This window comes from Homo sapiens, chromosome 5 (assembly GCF_000001405.40).
Source record: "Homo sapiens chromosome 5, GRCh38.p14 Primary Assembly".
In the NCBI taxonomy this organism is placed as follows: Eukaryota; Metazoa; Chordata; class Mammalia; order Primates; family Hominidae; genus Homo; species Homo sapiens.
Genome location: NC_000005.10, coordinates 84,774,968 through 84,793,154, shown reverse-complemented (window position 1 = coordinate 84,793,154; position 18,187 = coordinate 84,774,968).

Here is an 18,187-nt window from a genome sequence, read left to right as displayed (position 1 = left end):
CTATTCTGTTAGGTGCAAAATCCATTTATAAAATAAATCTCAGAATTGAAATTGCATTAGCTTACACAAGGTGTAATTGGGAAGAATTGTGTTAATTTTGATATTCCCTAAATTCCATCATTCAAATCTGGTAATATGGTGTTTAATAGATGCTGGATCTGAAACATACAATCAAATTTTTATATCTCGATATGAGAATTTGATTAGTAAGCATAGTGGATTTAGTATGGTACCTACGTTGATCTAACCCCCCTTCTTCCCATTTAAAGAAGTATAGGCTAACACAGTGTCACGATTTGGGCTTCTTATTAAACTCAGGAATTAGTAAAGGAAAATTAAATCACTTAATTAGCTGCAGGCGAATACCTGAGAATTTTATGTATGCATCATATATTCAAAATATTATCTGAAATCCTCTGAGACCAACTTCAGGCAAAGCTGATTCAGTGATGACTCAACTACAGCAATTTTATGAGAAATTCAGACATTATCCTGAGATTAGCCATTAATTAAATTTTTATTTTTGAAAATGATAAGGACCTTCAATTTCTTCCATGTAGCCATCAACTCTTTACTAAATTCTAACTGTGTCTATGATTCATAATTTCTGTTATTTTCTGTTATTTTTCTTCACTTTAATACATAAGTTTAACACAATGGAAGTAAAAATCTACTTTATATAATATTTGACTGCAGTCACTAATGATTTCCAGTAGTAGGACTGCTATAAGTTTATAACATTAAGGTAATTATTCTAATTGCATGAGCAACTTTAACTCTTAGTTGGTGTTTCTTCTTGGTGCAACTATATGGAAAAGTGATAGCAGATAATCAAAACAATTAAAATGGTTGATGTAATTGTTGAAGGATAGAAATGAGTCTTCAGAATTTTAAGGAAGGCTTAATTTATGTTCCAAGAAACTTTTTAAAAAGTCTTTTATATGAATATTCACAGAGAAAGGAAAGAAATAAAGAAAGGGTTGTTTTTCTCTGTCTCATTATTAAAGATATAAAGTATCCTAGTTTTCACACACAAAGATGAAACTGGCGACCCATAATAAGTAAAGCACAAGGTTTGAATCATTTCTCCAAAGCAGTCATCATAGAGATGCAATCTCACATTTTAATTTAGTCGCTATTGCAGTTAATGATACACAGCAGTGGTGGCTAATTGAGGTGGGAAGTCAATCTGTGGTCACTTAAATGGAACAGAGCTAACTATAAGATCTATAACTATGACCTCATTAATACCCTGAACTAATCAATTAAATTAACTAAATTCAAAAAAGATGTAATTATCAGTATCAGCAACGTGTTAACCAAAGCAGTTCATATTTGCTGAATGTTTCCAATGTTTTCTGAGATAGTAAGAAGCATCTATCTACCAAAAAAAGTCAGTTTAAACATTTACAAATCAATTGTACAATTACTTTGCCTATAAGATAAGCTCTAACTTCTTAATCTTAACGTTTCTTATTTTAACATTATTGGGACATGTGTAATGTGAAACTGGGATCTATTTATGCTATAAAAAATATGTTGTCAATAAATCCATGTACTTTACCACAGATTTCCTGTCTTTTCTAACTTTAATTTCTTGACCTATCCAGTGCCCTTTTGTTTCAATAAACAAAAACCCATTCAAGTTTCAGAATAAATGAACAAAAAGGGTGAGACTAGAGAGAAAGTTTGTTTTAAGGTCAGCAAGATCTCATAGAATCAAAGAACTAAAATAGTGAAGCTTCATGTTCTGGCAGCACAAAGTCAGAAACATGGGCTCATCTCCTTATCCCCCTGACTCTGCAGTTTATCTGTACTTCTCTTTTCCAGAAGTTCTGCTTCCTTCTGTGACAGTTTCTATATTTCCTCAGCTCATTTCAAAATTTCCCATCATGATGATCTTTAAGAAAATCAGAGTGTGAGATAACTCCACTCTGTTCAAATAAAAAGAGTTTTAGCTGGGCTCATGGTGGTGCCTTGGGTGTTTGCCTGCCTTAGACCTTTCAGTATGACTAGATTGATCAATCATGTGGTCTTTGGGGCTGTGAACAGAAGTAGATCCGGACCACCACCACCACTGCCCCCTTACAGAGCAGTGGACTGAATTGCACAAAATTATGGGGAAAGTGGTAGTAGCCAAACTTAAGAAAGTCTGGCACTACAACTTTTTGGCCATTTGAGAAATTTGATCTTCATCCTAAAATCAAAGAAGGAATTTATTCTTAATGCAAATATTATATTTGTGCTTTGAAAATGCTTTGAAACTGCAAGGCTGAGAATGAATTTGAAAGGGATTTATAGTAAATTGAGACCGATAAAGAAGTTATTGCAGCACTTCAGACAAGGGTTAACAATGGTATGGGCTAGGGTGGCAACAGAAGAAATGGAGGATAATGGGAAAATCTGAAAGCAATTTGGAGCCCAAGTCCAAGGACAAATGACAAATTAGAGTAGGCAAGGGAGGGCAGTGAGGGAGAGGGATGTGTCTTAGGTTTCTGGTTTTAGTTGAATGAATGGTATTATTATCAAAAACAGAGATGCATGAAGTTATGCACTGAATCTTAAACTCTAAAAGCCCTATAGGGTATTGCCTAACACAGTTCTATATCCTCAGAAATCACATTATGACTCAAAATTCACTAAGAATTTTTTGGGGTTTTGTTTTTTGTTTTTTGTTTTTAGATTAGGTTTCACTGTCCTCCACGCTGGAGTGCAGTGGCAAGATCATGGTTCACCTCAGCCTTGACCACCCAGGCTCAGGTGATTCTCCCACCTTACTCTACTGAGTAGCTGGGACTACAAGTATGTGCCCTGGTTAATTTTTGTATTTTTAGTAGAGATAGTGTTTCGCCAGGTTCCCCAGGCTTGTCTCAAACTCCTGGGCTCAAGACATCCACCCACCTCAGCTTCCCAAAGTGCAAGGATTACAGGCATGAGTCATCGTTCCTGGCCAGAATTTTTAAGATTAATAAATTTTTAAGTCACCATTTATGCATAAGGAATTAGGAGTTCTGAATTTTTAATGTAATTGTTAGTTGACATTTAATAATTGTACATATTTTTTGAGATACAGAGTGATATTTTAGTACATGTATACAATGGGTAATGATTAAATCAGAGTAATTAGCATACTCATCACTTTAAACATTTATCATTTGTGTTGTGAACATTCGAAAATCTTTTCTAGCTTTTTGAATATGCACACTAAACTATTGTTAACCATATTTACCATACAGCACTCCAGAACAATAAAACTTATTCCTATCATGTAGCTGTAACTTTGTATCCATTAACTAATCTTTTCCTGTTCTTCTCTCCTAGCAATAATTCCCAGCCTCTAATCATCACAATTCTACTCTGTACTTCTATTAGCTCAAATTTTATTTTCCTCCCGTATGTGAGTGAGAACCTGCGGTGTTTCTGTGCCTGATTTATTTCACTTAACATAATGTCCTCCAGCCTCATCTGCGTTGACAGTATTTTATTCCTTTTTACGGCTGAATAGTATTCCATTGTGTATACATTCCATGTTTTTTAATCCATTTGTCTGTTGATGGACACTTAGATTGATTACATATCTTAGCTATTGTGAATAGAGTTGCAATGAACTTCTGGGGGTGCAGGTATCTCTTCAATATATTGATTTCCTTTCATTTGGATAAATACCCAGTAGTGAGATTGCTGGATCATATGGTAGTTCTATTTTTAGTTTTTGTTAAAATCTCTATACTGTTTTCCATAATGTTAATAGTAATTTAGATTACCCTCAACAGTGTAGAAGAGTTCCCTTTTTTCATTACCCTCATCAGCATTTGTTGTTTTTTATCTTTTTGATGATAGCCTTTCTAACTAGGGTAAGATGATACTTCATTGTGATTTTGATTTGAACCTTTGAAAATCTTAAGATTGCTGAGAAGGAGTATGGTAGACTAAATAATGGCCCCCAAGAGATACTCACACCCTAAACTCTGAAACCTGTAATTGTTACCTTAAATGACAAACAAGGGCTTTGCAGATATAATTAAGTATCTCCAGATGGGGAGATTATCCTGAATTTTTCCAATAAGCCCTAAATGTAATTACACGTATCTTTATAAAAGGGAGGCAGAGGAAGATTTGGCAGATAGAATAGAAGGCAATGTGACAACAAAGGCTGAAAGAAAGATGTGGCCACAAGCCAATGAATGCCAGCAGCCGCCAGAACCTAGAAGAGGCAAGTGATGGATATGGATTCTCCCCAGGGGGAATATGGTCCTGCTGGCTCTATTTCTTCCAGGCAATACTGATTTTGGATTTTTGGTTTCCAGAACAGACAGAATAAATTTCCCTTGCTTTAAGCTACTAAGTTTGTGATAATTTGTTACAGCAGCCATAGGAAACTAATGAAAGCAGCTTTTTGAAAATTGCTTTTATACTTAATATCCATACCCATGACATAAGTATCTTCTGATACAGCATTAAAAATGTTTAATTCAAATCAGAATATTTTGTTTCACTGAAGTATAGCTGTAGTTCTGCTACACAATACAGCCAAAATACAGGTGATTTAGGCACCTCAGACATAATTAAGTATCTGAAAACTGCAGATATATATTTTGTAGGATTTAAAGTCCTTACTGCAATATTAGCACCAAGTTGAAATTCAAATAGTATGTTTCTAGGTAAATAAAGTGAATAAATATCTTTGATTTTTTTTCTAATGCATACAAGTTTATTAAAATAACTTACATAATTTAATCTAAACTCAATATTGGCAACCATTTGATTAATTAAGTGTACCCTTCTACCAGCATTACCAGCATAGACCCAGCTACAACACAACAATCTTAGAAGCAGTGCTCTTAGAATCATAATTTTAAAGTTCTACTTTATTGTTTTGGATTTCTTTTAAGGAAAATAATGGTATTGGAAACTCATTTTCTTTCTTTTTTCTTTGTTTTGTGAGATGCAGTTTCGCTATGTTGCCCAGGCTGGAGTGCAGTGGCATGATCTCAGCTCACTGCAACTTTGCCTCCCAGGTTCAAGCGATTATTGTGGCTCCAGCCTCCTGAGTAGTTGGGACTACAGGCACACCCCACCACACTCAGATAATTTTTATTTTTGTGTTTTTATTAGAGATGGGGTTTTACCATAGGGTCCAGGCTGGTCTCGAACTCCTGGCCTCAAGCGATCTGCCTGCCTGGGAGTCCCAAAGTGCTGGAATTACAGGCCTGAGCCTCCATGCCCAGCCTGGAAACCCATTTTCAATTATGTTTAGACTATTCAAATATTAGACTCTTCAATTATTTTTAGACCTAGCAGGAGTCAAATATAAATTATAAATATAAAATGGTACTTATAATAATCTATGTAACTTAATTTGTGGGTAACAAGTAAATAATTAAGACTTAATAAATTTTCAAGTATTACCAAACAATAGAAGAAAATGTTAAGTATATCATACACAGATGACTGAAGATAAGAAAATAGTTGTTCCTGCTAGTCTGATATGTATGTTTATAAGGAACACTTTTTAAAGGAGTTTTTCTCAACATGAATTCGTGTAAGAAGCAAGTAATCATTCAGAACAATTTCAGAAAACATTATTTCACAGCATAGGTCTCAAGAGATGTGTATAAGCTGATAAATGACCTTAAACTAATAAGTATTGATGATAACAAAATCAAGTATAAAATTTGAGCAGGGATTTCTTATCTTGTGTTTTCAATCATTTTTCCTAAGCTGATAATTAAATGGAGAGCATATTTCTTTCTTAATATTACATTGGTGATTGCATTTCACTCTTACTGTACCCCAGAGATGATAAAATGGCTCTGTAGGTGTGCCCCAACTAAAACTACTAATGTTGGTTAACAATGGCACATATGTTACAAAATTCTAATATATTATAAATTGCTGTTCACAATTCTGAGATAGCCCAATGTACTTTATTAATCAGACATCCAGACATTTAATTCTTTAGCTACTCAAAATAGTTCCAAAGTGAATAATCAATACAATTTCTTCATTCAAAATACGTATCTCTTCAGGAGGAAGTTTGAGATTTATATCAACATGAGAAATTAAAGAGAAACAGTTTCTTTGTTTAAAGAGATTAGCAACCTTCCCCAACGAGCACATATACTGCCATTTCCACCACCAAAGTTTCAACACATGCTTAACCACTCTGATTTTTTAGTCTTCTCCCCTTTAGAAACCTATGGATTCCCCTTACTTTTCTGCCAGCTCAACTATAGGTTATTAGCATGTTTTTAATATTTTATGGGAAAACTCTTGTGCTTTTGTAGTGGAAACATTTTTAGGTTATCTGATTTCCTACAGTGTCACAAGTGAAAGGTGTCTTATACTTTTTAATTGATGTACTATTACCTCAAAATAACTTCAAATACATTTATTATATTCACTTTAGTTATTTACTCTCTTTTCCATTGACTATGCTACTTGTGGGTAAGTCTTCTGTTTCAAATGTTTGGTTCCCATGTTTCATGCTGTTTTTTTTAAAACTTTAAATGACTGATGATTCTAGATTTTCTCTTCATATTTTTAAATGGACCAGATGGAATAGTGCTGGCAACTGGAGAGTTGTCTAAGCAGGGCATTAAACAACAGTGTTCACTATCATCTCCCCAGAACAAAGTCAATGCCTTGTACATGAGGAGTACTATGTAAAGAATAAATTAATAATTGAAAAAAAAATGAATAAATAAAATATGAATACAGATTCTAGAATCAAAAGCAATCATGTTTATGCACAAAGAGAATAGTGAGTAAGATTTTTGGAAACTACTTAGTATATAAAATAGAAACTATAAAATTACTGAGATAAATAATGCACAAAAATGGAGGGAGGAGATCTGTCTAAAGGAAAAACGGACGTCTAAAATACAGAAAAGGAAGATCAGAGGGAGATATAATTTCCAATAATTTCCCGAAGAGAAAACACTAACGAGGGTTAAGAAATTTCCCAAAACTGTCTACATGATGGAAAAGAAAACTCAAAGGATCACAGAGACAGCTCAAAGGCACAAGTCTTTAGCACGTCTTAGCCATTTTTTGTACACAAAGTCAACCTGGATGCAATGATTGTGAAGCGGACCACTGTTGAACAATGTCTTTGAGCCCTTCCATCATATTCCAGAGATGTGATAAAGATAAGTGCATAATATGCTCATTTGCCCAAATTTAGTACAAAAGAGATAGGAAGCGATCTAAGGTTACTTTAATTATGATAATATTTTTAAAAGTAACGAATTTTATATTTAAGAAGTAATAATTAGCTTCATTGAGTGGGTTGAAAAATAAGAGCACCAACATGTATTTTTATTAGAGCACATCTGTTTTGTGATAGAATAGATAGTGCAGAGGACTAGGAATTATTATTATTGGGTTCTTTGTCATCCTGGCACTCCTACTGACTTGCTAGATGATATTGTGAGGCCACTTGAACTCTCAAGATTGCATTTTCCTCATATTTATGCTAGGAGGAATACACTTAAATTATTTTAAGATATTTTCTGTAAATAAGGAAGGATTATTTTTAACTTGTAATTCAGGTATGAACTCTCCAATATTTTCTGATCACCTGTCTATTTACCTCATTTCACTATAAGATAAAGAGTCACATATTATCATCACTTTCCTTATTTTATCATCATACTAGGTTAAAAATAGCTTTATTTTCCAGTAACAATATTATCATTTGTGATTGCCAGAATGATAGGACTATAGAATGATGCAACTCTTTTAGTTTTCTTAAGGTATGACATAAATAAATATATTTTATCTATAGTTCACTTGAGCTCAACAAATTGCTTTTACCATTTACCACTTACAAAGTCTTAAGTATACCAGATGATTAATGGATTAATAACTCAAGGTTGCCTAAGGTTGCCTACTATTGAGGACAATATGGAAACGTATATGAGCAAGATTGGAGAATGAAGTGTCATAAGATGCAAGAAGAGCGTGAAATGGAGAAATATCTCATGAAGCTGATTTTATTTGAGAGAGGTCTTAAACACTGGGCTTATTTCAACAGGTAGCTCTAAATAAAAATGAATTGCCATGGAGAGAAAACCGCTTGTGCAAAGGCATTGGAATGGAAAAGCACAAATTGCATTTAAGGAGTGGTTTATTGGGTAGTTTAACTGAGGAAGGAGTTTGAAATGATTCTTTAGGACTCTTTTCTATAAATATTGCAGACTATTCTAAGACACCTGCATATACTTTTCTATACTTTATTAAAATTAATTTAGAACTTACCCAACAATAGTAAAATAGAAAGGTACATTTCATAGAGAGAAATTATCCTAATAAAGGACCCTCACAATGTGAAAAATGCTTGATGGTCATTTTTGTCCATGTCCTGTGGATAAACTGAAACACATAATCATGTTCCATTCATCTGGTAGGGTTAGCTGATGATTGTGATTTTCAAATAACTCAGTTCTAATGTTAATAGTTGCTCAAATATTCTATATTAGTATTTCCTGGGGTGAGTTCCATGGAACACTTTATATAAATGATGCATTAAGAATAACGTTTTTATAATAAATATCTTGACTGTATACAGCATCTTAAAATTCCAAGAAAGAAAAATTAAAAATAACTAAAATGTATGCAACATTAACTATGTATTAAGGTACCATGCTAAGAACTTAACATGAGTTTTATTTGTTAATTCTCACAGCCACATTTTTTTTTTTGTAGTCACTGTTATTATTCTTGTTTTACAGGATAGGAAATTGTGAACTGATAAGTGGCAGCATGATGCCGGGAACCAGGATGTTTCATTCTAATATCCTTGTGATGCCCAGCTTTATTGGTCAGAAAATTCTTCTTGTGGGGATCATTTCTGATTAAAAGTGGTAAATGCTGTGTGCTTCTCTCTCATGATAGCATAGTTTACCAAATATTTGTGACAAAAATCCGGAGGAGACAAGTCACGTTTGCTTATTTTATTAATTTCCATGGTATCTTTATAACGGATAACCAAATCAAAACCAATTAATAAACCAAAATAAACCAGCTTTATGTATATTATCTAAAATATAATTTTTACAGTTTCCCAAATAGGCAACAAATTTGCATGTTTTTTTCAGGAATTTACTTGGCATATAGTTTATATATATCCTCCTTGCAAGAGTTATGATGAGCAGCCTGTAGACTTGAAGTAGTCATTTGAGCACATACAGGAATCATATTTCCATAAACTTCTTCTGTACTTTACACTAGAGGTACTGCAATTACATGACCAAATTTAAAAATAATTTCCAATAAATTTAAAAGAAAAATAATTTGGAATGTTATTTACTCATTTTTATAACATTGACTTCTATATCTTTATGGAGTTAAGAAGCAGTGAGAACCAAAGTTTCACTGGAGACTATTTTTTTCTTTTTTTTTTTCTAATGAAGTTCTAAGACTGGGAAAAAGAAAAGAAGACATAGCCTGACTTCTCCTCCTTCACTTTTTTTAAGTTTTATTTTATTGAACTGACCCATAATAAGTTACATATTTATGGGGTAAATATTTATGGAGTAATGTCAATATACGAATGCATTTCGTAATGTTCAAATCAGGGTAATTGGTAAATTCTTCACCTAAATATTTATTATTTCTTCATGGTGAGAACATTCAAAATCCTCTCGACTAATATTTTGAAACATACAATATGTTCTTATTAACGATAGTCACCCTTCTTTGCAATTGATATGGTTTGAATACATGTCCCCAACCAAATCTCTTGTTGCATTGTAATCCCCAATGGTGGAGGTGCAGCCTGGTGGGAGGTGGTTGGATCATGAGGGCAAATCTGTCATGAATGACTTGGGCCATCCCCTTGGTGATAAATAAGCTCTCACACTGAGTTCACACAAGATTTGGTCATTTAAAAGTTTGTGGCGTCTCCCACAACCCCCCCACTCTCTCTCTTTCATGCTTCTAGTTTTGCCATGTGATGTACCTGCTCTCACTTCACCTTTCACTATGAGTAAAACTCCCTAAGACCTCCCCAGAAGCCATGCGATGACAGTGCCATGACTGAGCATCCCGCAGATCTGTGAGCCAATTAAGCCTCTTTTCTTTATAAATTTTCCAGTCTTATGTTTTTGTTCATAGCAATGCAAGAATGGCCTAATGTATAATATTGGTACTGAGTAGAGGGGCATAACTATAAAGATACACAAAAATGTGAAAGCAACTTTGGAACTTGGTAATGGGCAGAAGTTGAAAGATTTTAGGGGGCTCAGAAGATAGAAAGATGAGGGAAAGTTTGGAACTTCTTAGAAACTGGTTAAACAATTGTGACCAAAATGCTGATAGTGATATGGACAGCGAAGTCTAGGCTAAGGAGGTATCAGATGGAAATGATGAACTTATTGGAAACCAGAGCAAAGGTCACATGAGTTATGCCTTAGTAAAGAACTTGGCTCCATTCTGTTTATGCCATAGGGATCTGTGATGCAGGAGCAAATAAATGACTTTAAGTTGGAATTTACATTTAAACAGGATGCAGAGCACTGAGGCTTAGAAAAATTGCAGCCTGGTCATGTGTCAAAGAAAAAAAAAGCTTTTTTGGGAGAAAAATGTAAGTAGTCTGGTAAGCAACCACTTGCTAGAGGTATTTGTGTAACTAAAAGGGAGCCAAGTACTAATATTCAAGACAGTGGGAAGAGGATCTTGAAGGCATTTCAGAGATCTCCCAGACAGCCCCTCCCATCACAGGCCCTGAGCCCTACAAGGACTGAATAGTTTTGTGGGACAGGCCTGGTGTCCCACTCTCTCTGCAGCCTTGGGACACTGCTCCTCCATCCCGGCTACTCTGCCTCCAGTCTCTGCTCAAAGAGCCCCAGGTATAGCTTGGGCTTCTGCTTCAGAGGGTACAAGCTGTAAGCCTTGGTGGCTTCCACATGATGCTAAGCCTGCAGGAGCACATAGTGTAAGAGTTAAGGAGGCTTGTCAGCCTCCACCTAGGTTTCAGAGGATATATGAAAAAGCCTGGGTGCAAGGCAGAAGCCTGTTGCATGGGAGCAACCTCCACAGAGATCCTCGACTAGGGAAGTGTAGAGGGGAAATGTGGGGTTTGAGGCCCCATGCAGAGTCCTCGCTGGGGCACTACCTAGTGGAGCTGTGGGAAGGGGTCCACGATCCTCCAGACCTGAGAATGGTAGATCCACTGGCAGCTTGCACCCTGCATCTGGAAAAAAAACAAAGGCACTCAACTCCACCCCATGAAAGTAGCAACAGAAGCTGAACCCTGAGAAGCCACAGGGGTGGAGCTGCCCAAGGTCTTGGGATCTGACCCCTTGCACCAGTATGCCCAGGATGTGGGACATGGAGGCAAATGTGATTATTTTGGAGCTTTAATATTTAATGACTACTGAACATCTCTGTGTTTTGAACCTTAATGCGGCCTGTAGCCCTTTTCTTTTGGTTGATTACTCCCTTTTGGAACAGGAATGTTTATCCAATACCTGTATCCCCATTGTGTCTTTAAAATAACTTGTTTGTAATTTTTCAGGCTTATAGGTGAAAGGGACTCACCTTGTCTCAGATGAAACTTTGAATGTTTGAGTTAACGTTGGAATGAGTTAAAATCTTGAGAGACTGTTGGGACAGTATGACTGTATTTTGCAATGTGAGAAAGAATGAGATTTGGGGAGTCAGGAGTGAAATTATACGGTCTGAATATATGTTTACACCAAATCTTATGTTGAATTGTAATCCCAGTGTTGGAGGTGAGGTCCAAAGGGAGGTGTTTGGATCATGAGAGTAGATTCCTCATGAATGACTTGGGCCATCCCCTTGATAAGTGAGTTCTTGCTCTGAGTTCACACAATAATGGGTCATTGAAAATTGTGTGGCACCTCTACCTTTCTCTCTTGTTCTTGCTTTCACCACATGATGTACCTGTTCCCAATTCACCTTCCACAATGCGCAAAAGCTCCCGGAGGCCTCACTAGAAGCCAAGCAATGTCAACACCATGCTTGTACAGCCTACAGAACCATGAGCCATTTAAACCTCTTTTCTTAATAAATTATCCAGTCTCAGGTATTTCTTTATAGCAGTTGCAAAACAGCCTAATACAGCAATCAAATGCCAGAACTTACTTCTCCTAAATGTAATTTTGTCACTTGAGACTCTTTATGTGCTCTATGTGTTTTAATACTCTTCTGGATTAGCTATAATCTTAGTGTGACAATTATGTATTTTTATTTTCATCTGATGCAAATTAACCTTATTTCCTTGCCATCAATTATTTTGGAGCCTTAATATGTAATGACTGTTCTGCTGTGTTTCGAACTTGCTTGGGGCCCTCAGCTCTTTCCTTTTGGCTCAACAGAAGGACTACATATGGAAAGATTACAATTCTTAGTGTTTGTTTTACTTAGTCTGGGCCATATCATTGAGATCTGGCCAATGGGATATGCTTGGAAATTATGTATAAATTCATATTTTTCATAAAGCATCCTAACTGAGCCTCCACACATTCTCTTAATTCATCTGTCAGACAGCTGAGTACAGAGAATACCTGGAGGACACATCAGGATGAGAGCCACAGGATTGAAAAATTCTGGGTCCCTGTTTAAGTACTTTAAATAGAATTTCTCAGTGGAGCCTCCAAACTCAAACAGGATTGTGATAAATAAAATTCCATTCATTTGATTTGCTGAGATTTGAGGGTTGTTTGTTTTAGAGGCTAACACAATATACTATGCTTTCTTTTTCTGTTTTATTTATTTAAAACAAAAGCATATATGTGAATCTGCCAATGAAGTCTCCTAATCTATTTACAAATATTAAATCACTTATGCTTACTACAACCTCATAAGATAAGTAATATTATTATCCAATTTATACAAAGGAGAAAACAGAAACACATGTTCACACAGCTAGTAAGTAACAAAGCCAAGGTCCACCCCAGGCACTCTGGCTGCAGAGCTGCTGATCTTAAATTCTAGCTATACTACCTGAATTTAATTAATTATTCTTTTAAAGATTTCATGGTTTTTTTTTGGGGGGGTGGTAGCTACTTTGTGTCTTTCTACATTTCTGAGTATTTTAGCAGTTTTGTATCTGGCTAATTATGGAGAGACCAGAAGAGGCATTGGCCTGAGTCTTACATTTAAGAATGACCTCAAATGTGACCTAATTAAATTTGAAATCACTGTGTTTTGTGTGTCTTATGATTGAATTAGTTAAATGTAAAATATTTAAATATCTGTAGCCGTATTTTCACACTTCTTCATGTTCATTCAAATTACTAGGAAGCATTAATATTTGGAAGTAGCCCAGCCAAGCTCTTATTCTCTGAGAAGTCCTGTTTTGCATACTCACTGATGAATACCTAAGAAAAACAACTGTCCATTCTATGAAACTCAAAATGAATTCAACAGACTATTTCACTGAGTATCTAAAAGCTCGTAGATCCTTAAGGAACATTCCGTGGTGCCACCAGGTAAGCCTCTGACAAAGCTGCAGTAGGCAGAGATAAGGAGAATAGAGAAGCTGAATATGTTCATTTACTTGTCCTGAAATGAACTTATAAAACCTTTTATGTTCATCTAATTCTGGAAAAAAATTACATAGATCAATCTTTTCTATATCCCGTAAGAAATTGTTAGGTCATATCTAATTAGAAGTTGTGTTACTGACAAAGGAGATATTGGCTAGAGCATCTGTGCCACCTCTGACTTATTTAGAAGCGAGTCATGGGATCTGTTACTTTCACTTGGCTCTACTGAAAAGAAAGGAAAGATCTGTGGCTAATGAAATGTCAAAAATGTAACATCTCTAAGGGTTTGGCTTATCCCTTCAGAGTGCATCAGAGGGTCAGCACCAAGCTTCAAGTTAAATCCCTTCACAAACTGAGATCTTTGGGTTGTGAAAAACATTTGGGTGTTTTTCTTCATCTTTCTGTCAGTTATTTTTTTCTGCTTTCTTAAACTAAAACTGTTTCTTCCTTTAAGGAATAATTGTATCCATGGGATTTGAGATTGCTATGAATTGATTGTATGGAGTGCTGTGATTTTAAAAGTGGCACACATATGCAACTTTTTTCAGACTGACAATGTGTTCCTGAGTGGTGCTATTGAAATTGTATGTGCCTGTGTTTATTTTTGCCTGTCACATCTATTAACTTTAATTATCCAAATTATTCTTTCATATACAGTACTACCTCTAATTTATACTCCATTTATTATTTTACCTGTTATCTAAAAAGATGTTATCAAAGACAATAATAAATTGACTTAGCATCTCTTAAAAATATGTTTTAGGTGGCATAATGAAATAGACCAAAGAATGAGGCTGAACAGTCAGGATTTGAGTTTCAGAATTATTTTTCTAATATTTGGATAAAAATTTGATGACCCTTAAAAGTTTTTGAGCCTTAGTTTTCTCATCCATTAAACCAAGATAAGAATTTCAGTGAAAGTATTATTATAATGTAAATAAATTGATAGTATATTTGAAAGCACTTAAACACACTAAAGTTTAGCACAAAGGTTAGTTTTTTTAAATTTATTATTTTTACAGGAGTAAATAAATGAAAAAAAGCCATACAGACTGTTATAGTCAAATTCAGTCATTATTATTATGAAACATGTCCCTGTTTGGCATTTTTAAAGGAAAACATACTAAGGCTTTACTATGCTCTCACCAAATAACTATTGAATGTATATGCCATTGCAGAAAACATTTTCAGTGTCTTTTATAAAATTTTACTCATTTGTCTATACTAATCTAAAGAAAACATTAAGATGATAAAAGAGGGTCTAAGAAAATATTCATGCCATTATTTAACTTTGAAGATAGAAATTTCAAATTAGGGGAAAAACACTGTTTCCTTGAGCATTAGATGCATGATATGTAGCATCCATTTAAAATATAATTTCATCACTGACTAAGGTGACTTCATATCATATTCCAATATCAGGTTCAAAAACATCTATTTAGAGTAAATTGATTTCTTATCATTTATTTTTTATGACAGAAAATTCTTTCACTGAATTGCTTTGGTATCCATTGTATTCACATTTTCTTGATTTTAGGAGTGTGTTCCACACTATGATTATATTTACTGTAATACAGATAGATATACCATAGCTCAAAATGTAGAAAAACTCAATATGTTAAATGGCCACAGTATTTTTGTTAAAAACCAAAATCTCTTTCAACAGGTACACAGTCTGATATCTATGTTGAAGTTTTTTGAAAAAAGGAAAATGACCATAAATAAAATCAAAAGGAGGGAAAGAGACCATAATGATGTAATTAAAGCTAATTTAAAATTTTGAAATTAGCCAAATTGTAAAATAAGGGCATAATGGACACTAGCTCTATATTTTCCTATTTCACAAAAGAATCAAATTGCTATTTAAAAATTTCTATAATTCTATGACTTTTCTTTTGACAGATTTGAACTATTATTAATGCTATGTTTTAAAAATCAACAGTTGTGTATATTTTAGCTTTTATACTTTTGAGTATGATTTATTATGTTTAGGACCTCATGTCCTTTCTAAAACAATGCCTTTGCTTTTGAATTTCCCGATGAAAAAGAAACACAATATTATAAACCTAATTTTTCTAAAAGTCATAATGTTAAAACTATAATAAAATATATACTATTTTTTTGTGGACAAAATAGATTCTGAAAATACACGCTATCTTCAGAGTTTTCTAAAAAACAACCATAGAATATTCATGTGAAAAATTTAAGTCTTTTTTTTTTTTTTTTGATATGAAGTCTCACTTTTTTTGCCCAGGCTAGAGTGCAGTGGTGTGATCTCAGCTCACTGCAACCTCTGCCTCCTGGGTTCAAGCGATTCTCCTGCTTCAGCCTCCCCAGTAGCTGGGATTACAGGCATGCACCACCGCGCCCAGCTAATTTTTGTGTTTTTAGTAGAGTTAGGGTTTCACCATGTTGGCCAGGCTGGTCTTGAACTTCTAACCTCAAGTGATCCACCCACCTTGGCCTCCCAAAGTGCTGGGATTACAGGCATGAGCCACTGAGACCAGCCCAAAATTTAACTTGTTAATGTTTAAGTATGTTAATTACATTTGCTCTGTTGATACATTAGGAATTCAGTGTTGAGGGTTGGTTTTGTTTTGTTTTGTTTTGTTTTGCTCTCACAGACTGTGTGTATTAGCTTATTTTTGTATTGCTATAAAGAACTACCTGAGACTGGGTAATTTATGAAGAAAAGAAGTTTAATTGACCTCAGTTCCCCAGGCTATATAGGAAGCATGGCTGGGGAGGCCTCAGGAAACTTACAATCATGGCAGAAGGTGAAGGGGAAGCAGGCCCATCTTACATGGCTAGAGAAGAAGGAAAAGAGAGGAGGAGGAGGTGCTACATGCTTTTAAACAACCAGATCTGGAGAGAACTAACTCCGTATCATGAAAACACCAAGGGGGAAATCCACTTCTATGATTCAGTCACCTCCCACCAGGCCCCTTCTTCAACATGGAGAATTACAATTTAACTTGAGATTTGGGCAGGGACACGAATCCAAACCATATCACCATAGATCTTATTTAACTTTTGAGTCAGTTACATGTAACAACGACCATGGAGTCAAGCAATAAATGAGGAAGTTTCTCCAGAAGCTTATAAAATTAAAGCTGTCCCTTCAAGCACTGAGGGGTGGCTGGTTAAGCAGGTTATGATCTTTCCAGGGTGATATTGGAGGTTGTTTAAATTGCAATTACAGTTTATAGTGCAGCTGTTAAAATCCACCAGACCAAATTTTCAGAATGACCTTTTCCATTTATCTAAGGAATTTTGCCAAATATTTAATTTGTAGGCATCTCACTTGGGCGCTTTTACAAAAATACACCTTTAAATGAATTATCTTATCTTTAGCTTTCACACACAATAATGAATGTCTGTAGGTGACCTATAGTTTCAGTGGAGTTAACTCTGTTTTATATAGGAGATGCTGTCAGACATGTAACTTTCATTTAAATAAGATACAATAATTACTAGCTCTCCGGAAAGGAAGAGAACATTTGGAATTTTTAAAATGTTTATTAAAGTTACCTCATTAATATTAAGAATTCAGTTTTGGAAATATATCTGTCACATTGGAAAAAGCATTGAAACAGCAATGTCAGTGCACTTATCTAAGCCATATAAATGTCAAGTAACATATGAACAGAATGCATTGTCTCTTTAATAATTTTTAGTTAGCCACATCTATATTAACTTACATTAATTCAAGAAATAAACATCATATACTTATTTTTTCTTCATTTAAACAAATAGTTACAACTAGCCAAGTGGGAGAATACTGTTTCAAAATTGATCTAGCTATGGCTCATCTTGCTATCAAAATGGGCTAGTTCTAAATTATGCTAAGCAAATTGAACACTGTTTCAAACATGATTGATTTAATTAGCTACACCTCCTTTAGAGGTCAGGAGACATTGATGAATACCTGGAAGTCTCAACCCTACTACTCTTCTTATCAGTAAAATGATCTTCTCTGTATCAGAAGCGTTCAACCAAGCCTATTGAATAAACATAGGTGTTCTTGCTAGCTACACTGACAGAATATTTGAATGATAAAATTTTAAGTATAAAATCAAACATCAAATAGAGCCAACTCCAGAAAATAATTTCGAATTTCTGTAGAACATGCCATTTAAGTGAAAAGGTTGGGCTGGTGTATTTTGTTGTGGTTGGAAATGAAGGCTCAGAGGGCATCAGTTGGACTCTAGGCTAGAGTAAGTCTTATGAGATCTTGGAAAAATTACTTTACCATTCTAAACTTGTTTCTTCATCTGAAAGTTGGGAAAAATAAATTTACTTGCCTGCTAAAGTTTTTGGTAGGATAATAGCAAATAATGAAGAATAAGCACTCAGCACAAAGCCTGGCAAATTGCAAATACTCCAGAAATGATAGGTATTATTATAGGTCAAATAAAAGTTAATGCAATAAACCAATATTCCTTCAAACAACAACTCACACACACTAGTTTGACTGCTTAAGGGAATATATGTCCAGTATCCATGCAGATAATCTAAATATCTCAATGTCTACTTAGGATATTCTAATTTCATTAGCTCCAGGGTCAAGCGTCTGAGGGCCAGGAAGTGGGGCCTTTGGAAGAAAGTAAGAGACATGTATAGAAGATAAGTAAAGATGAAGTGGAAGGAAATAGAAAATAGTGATACAC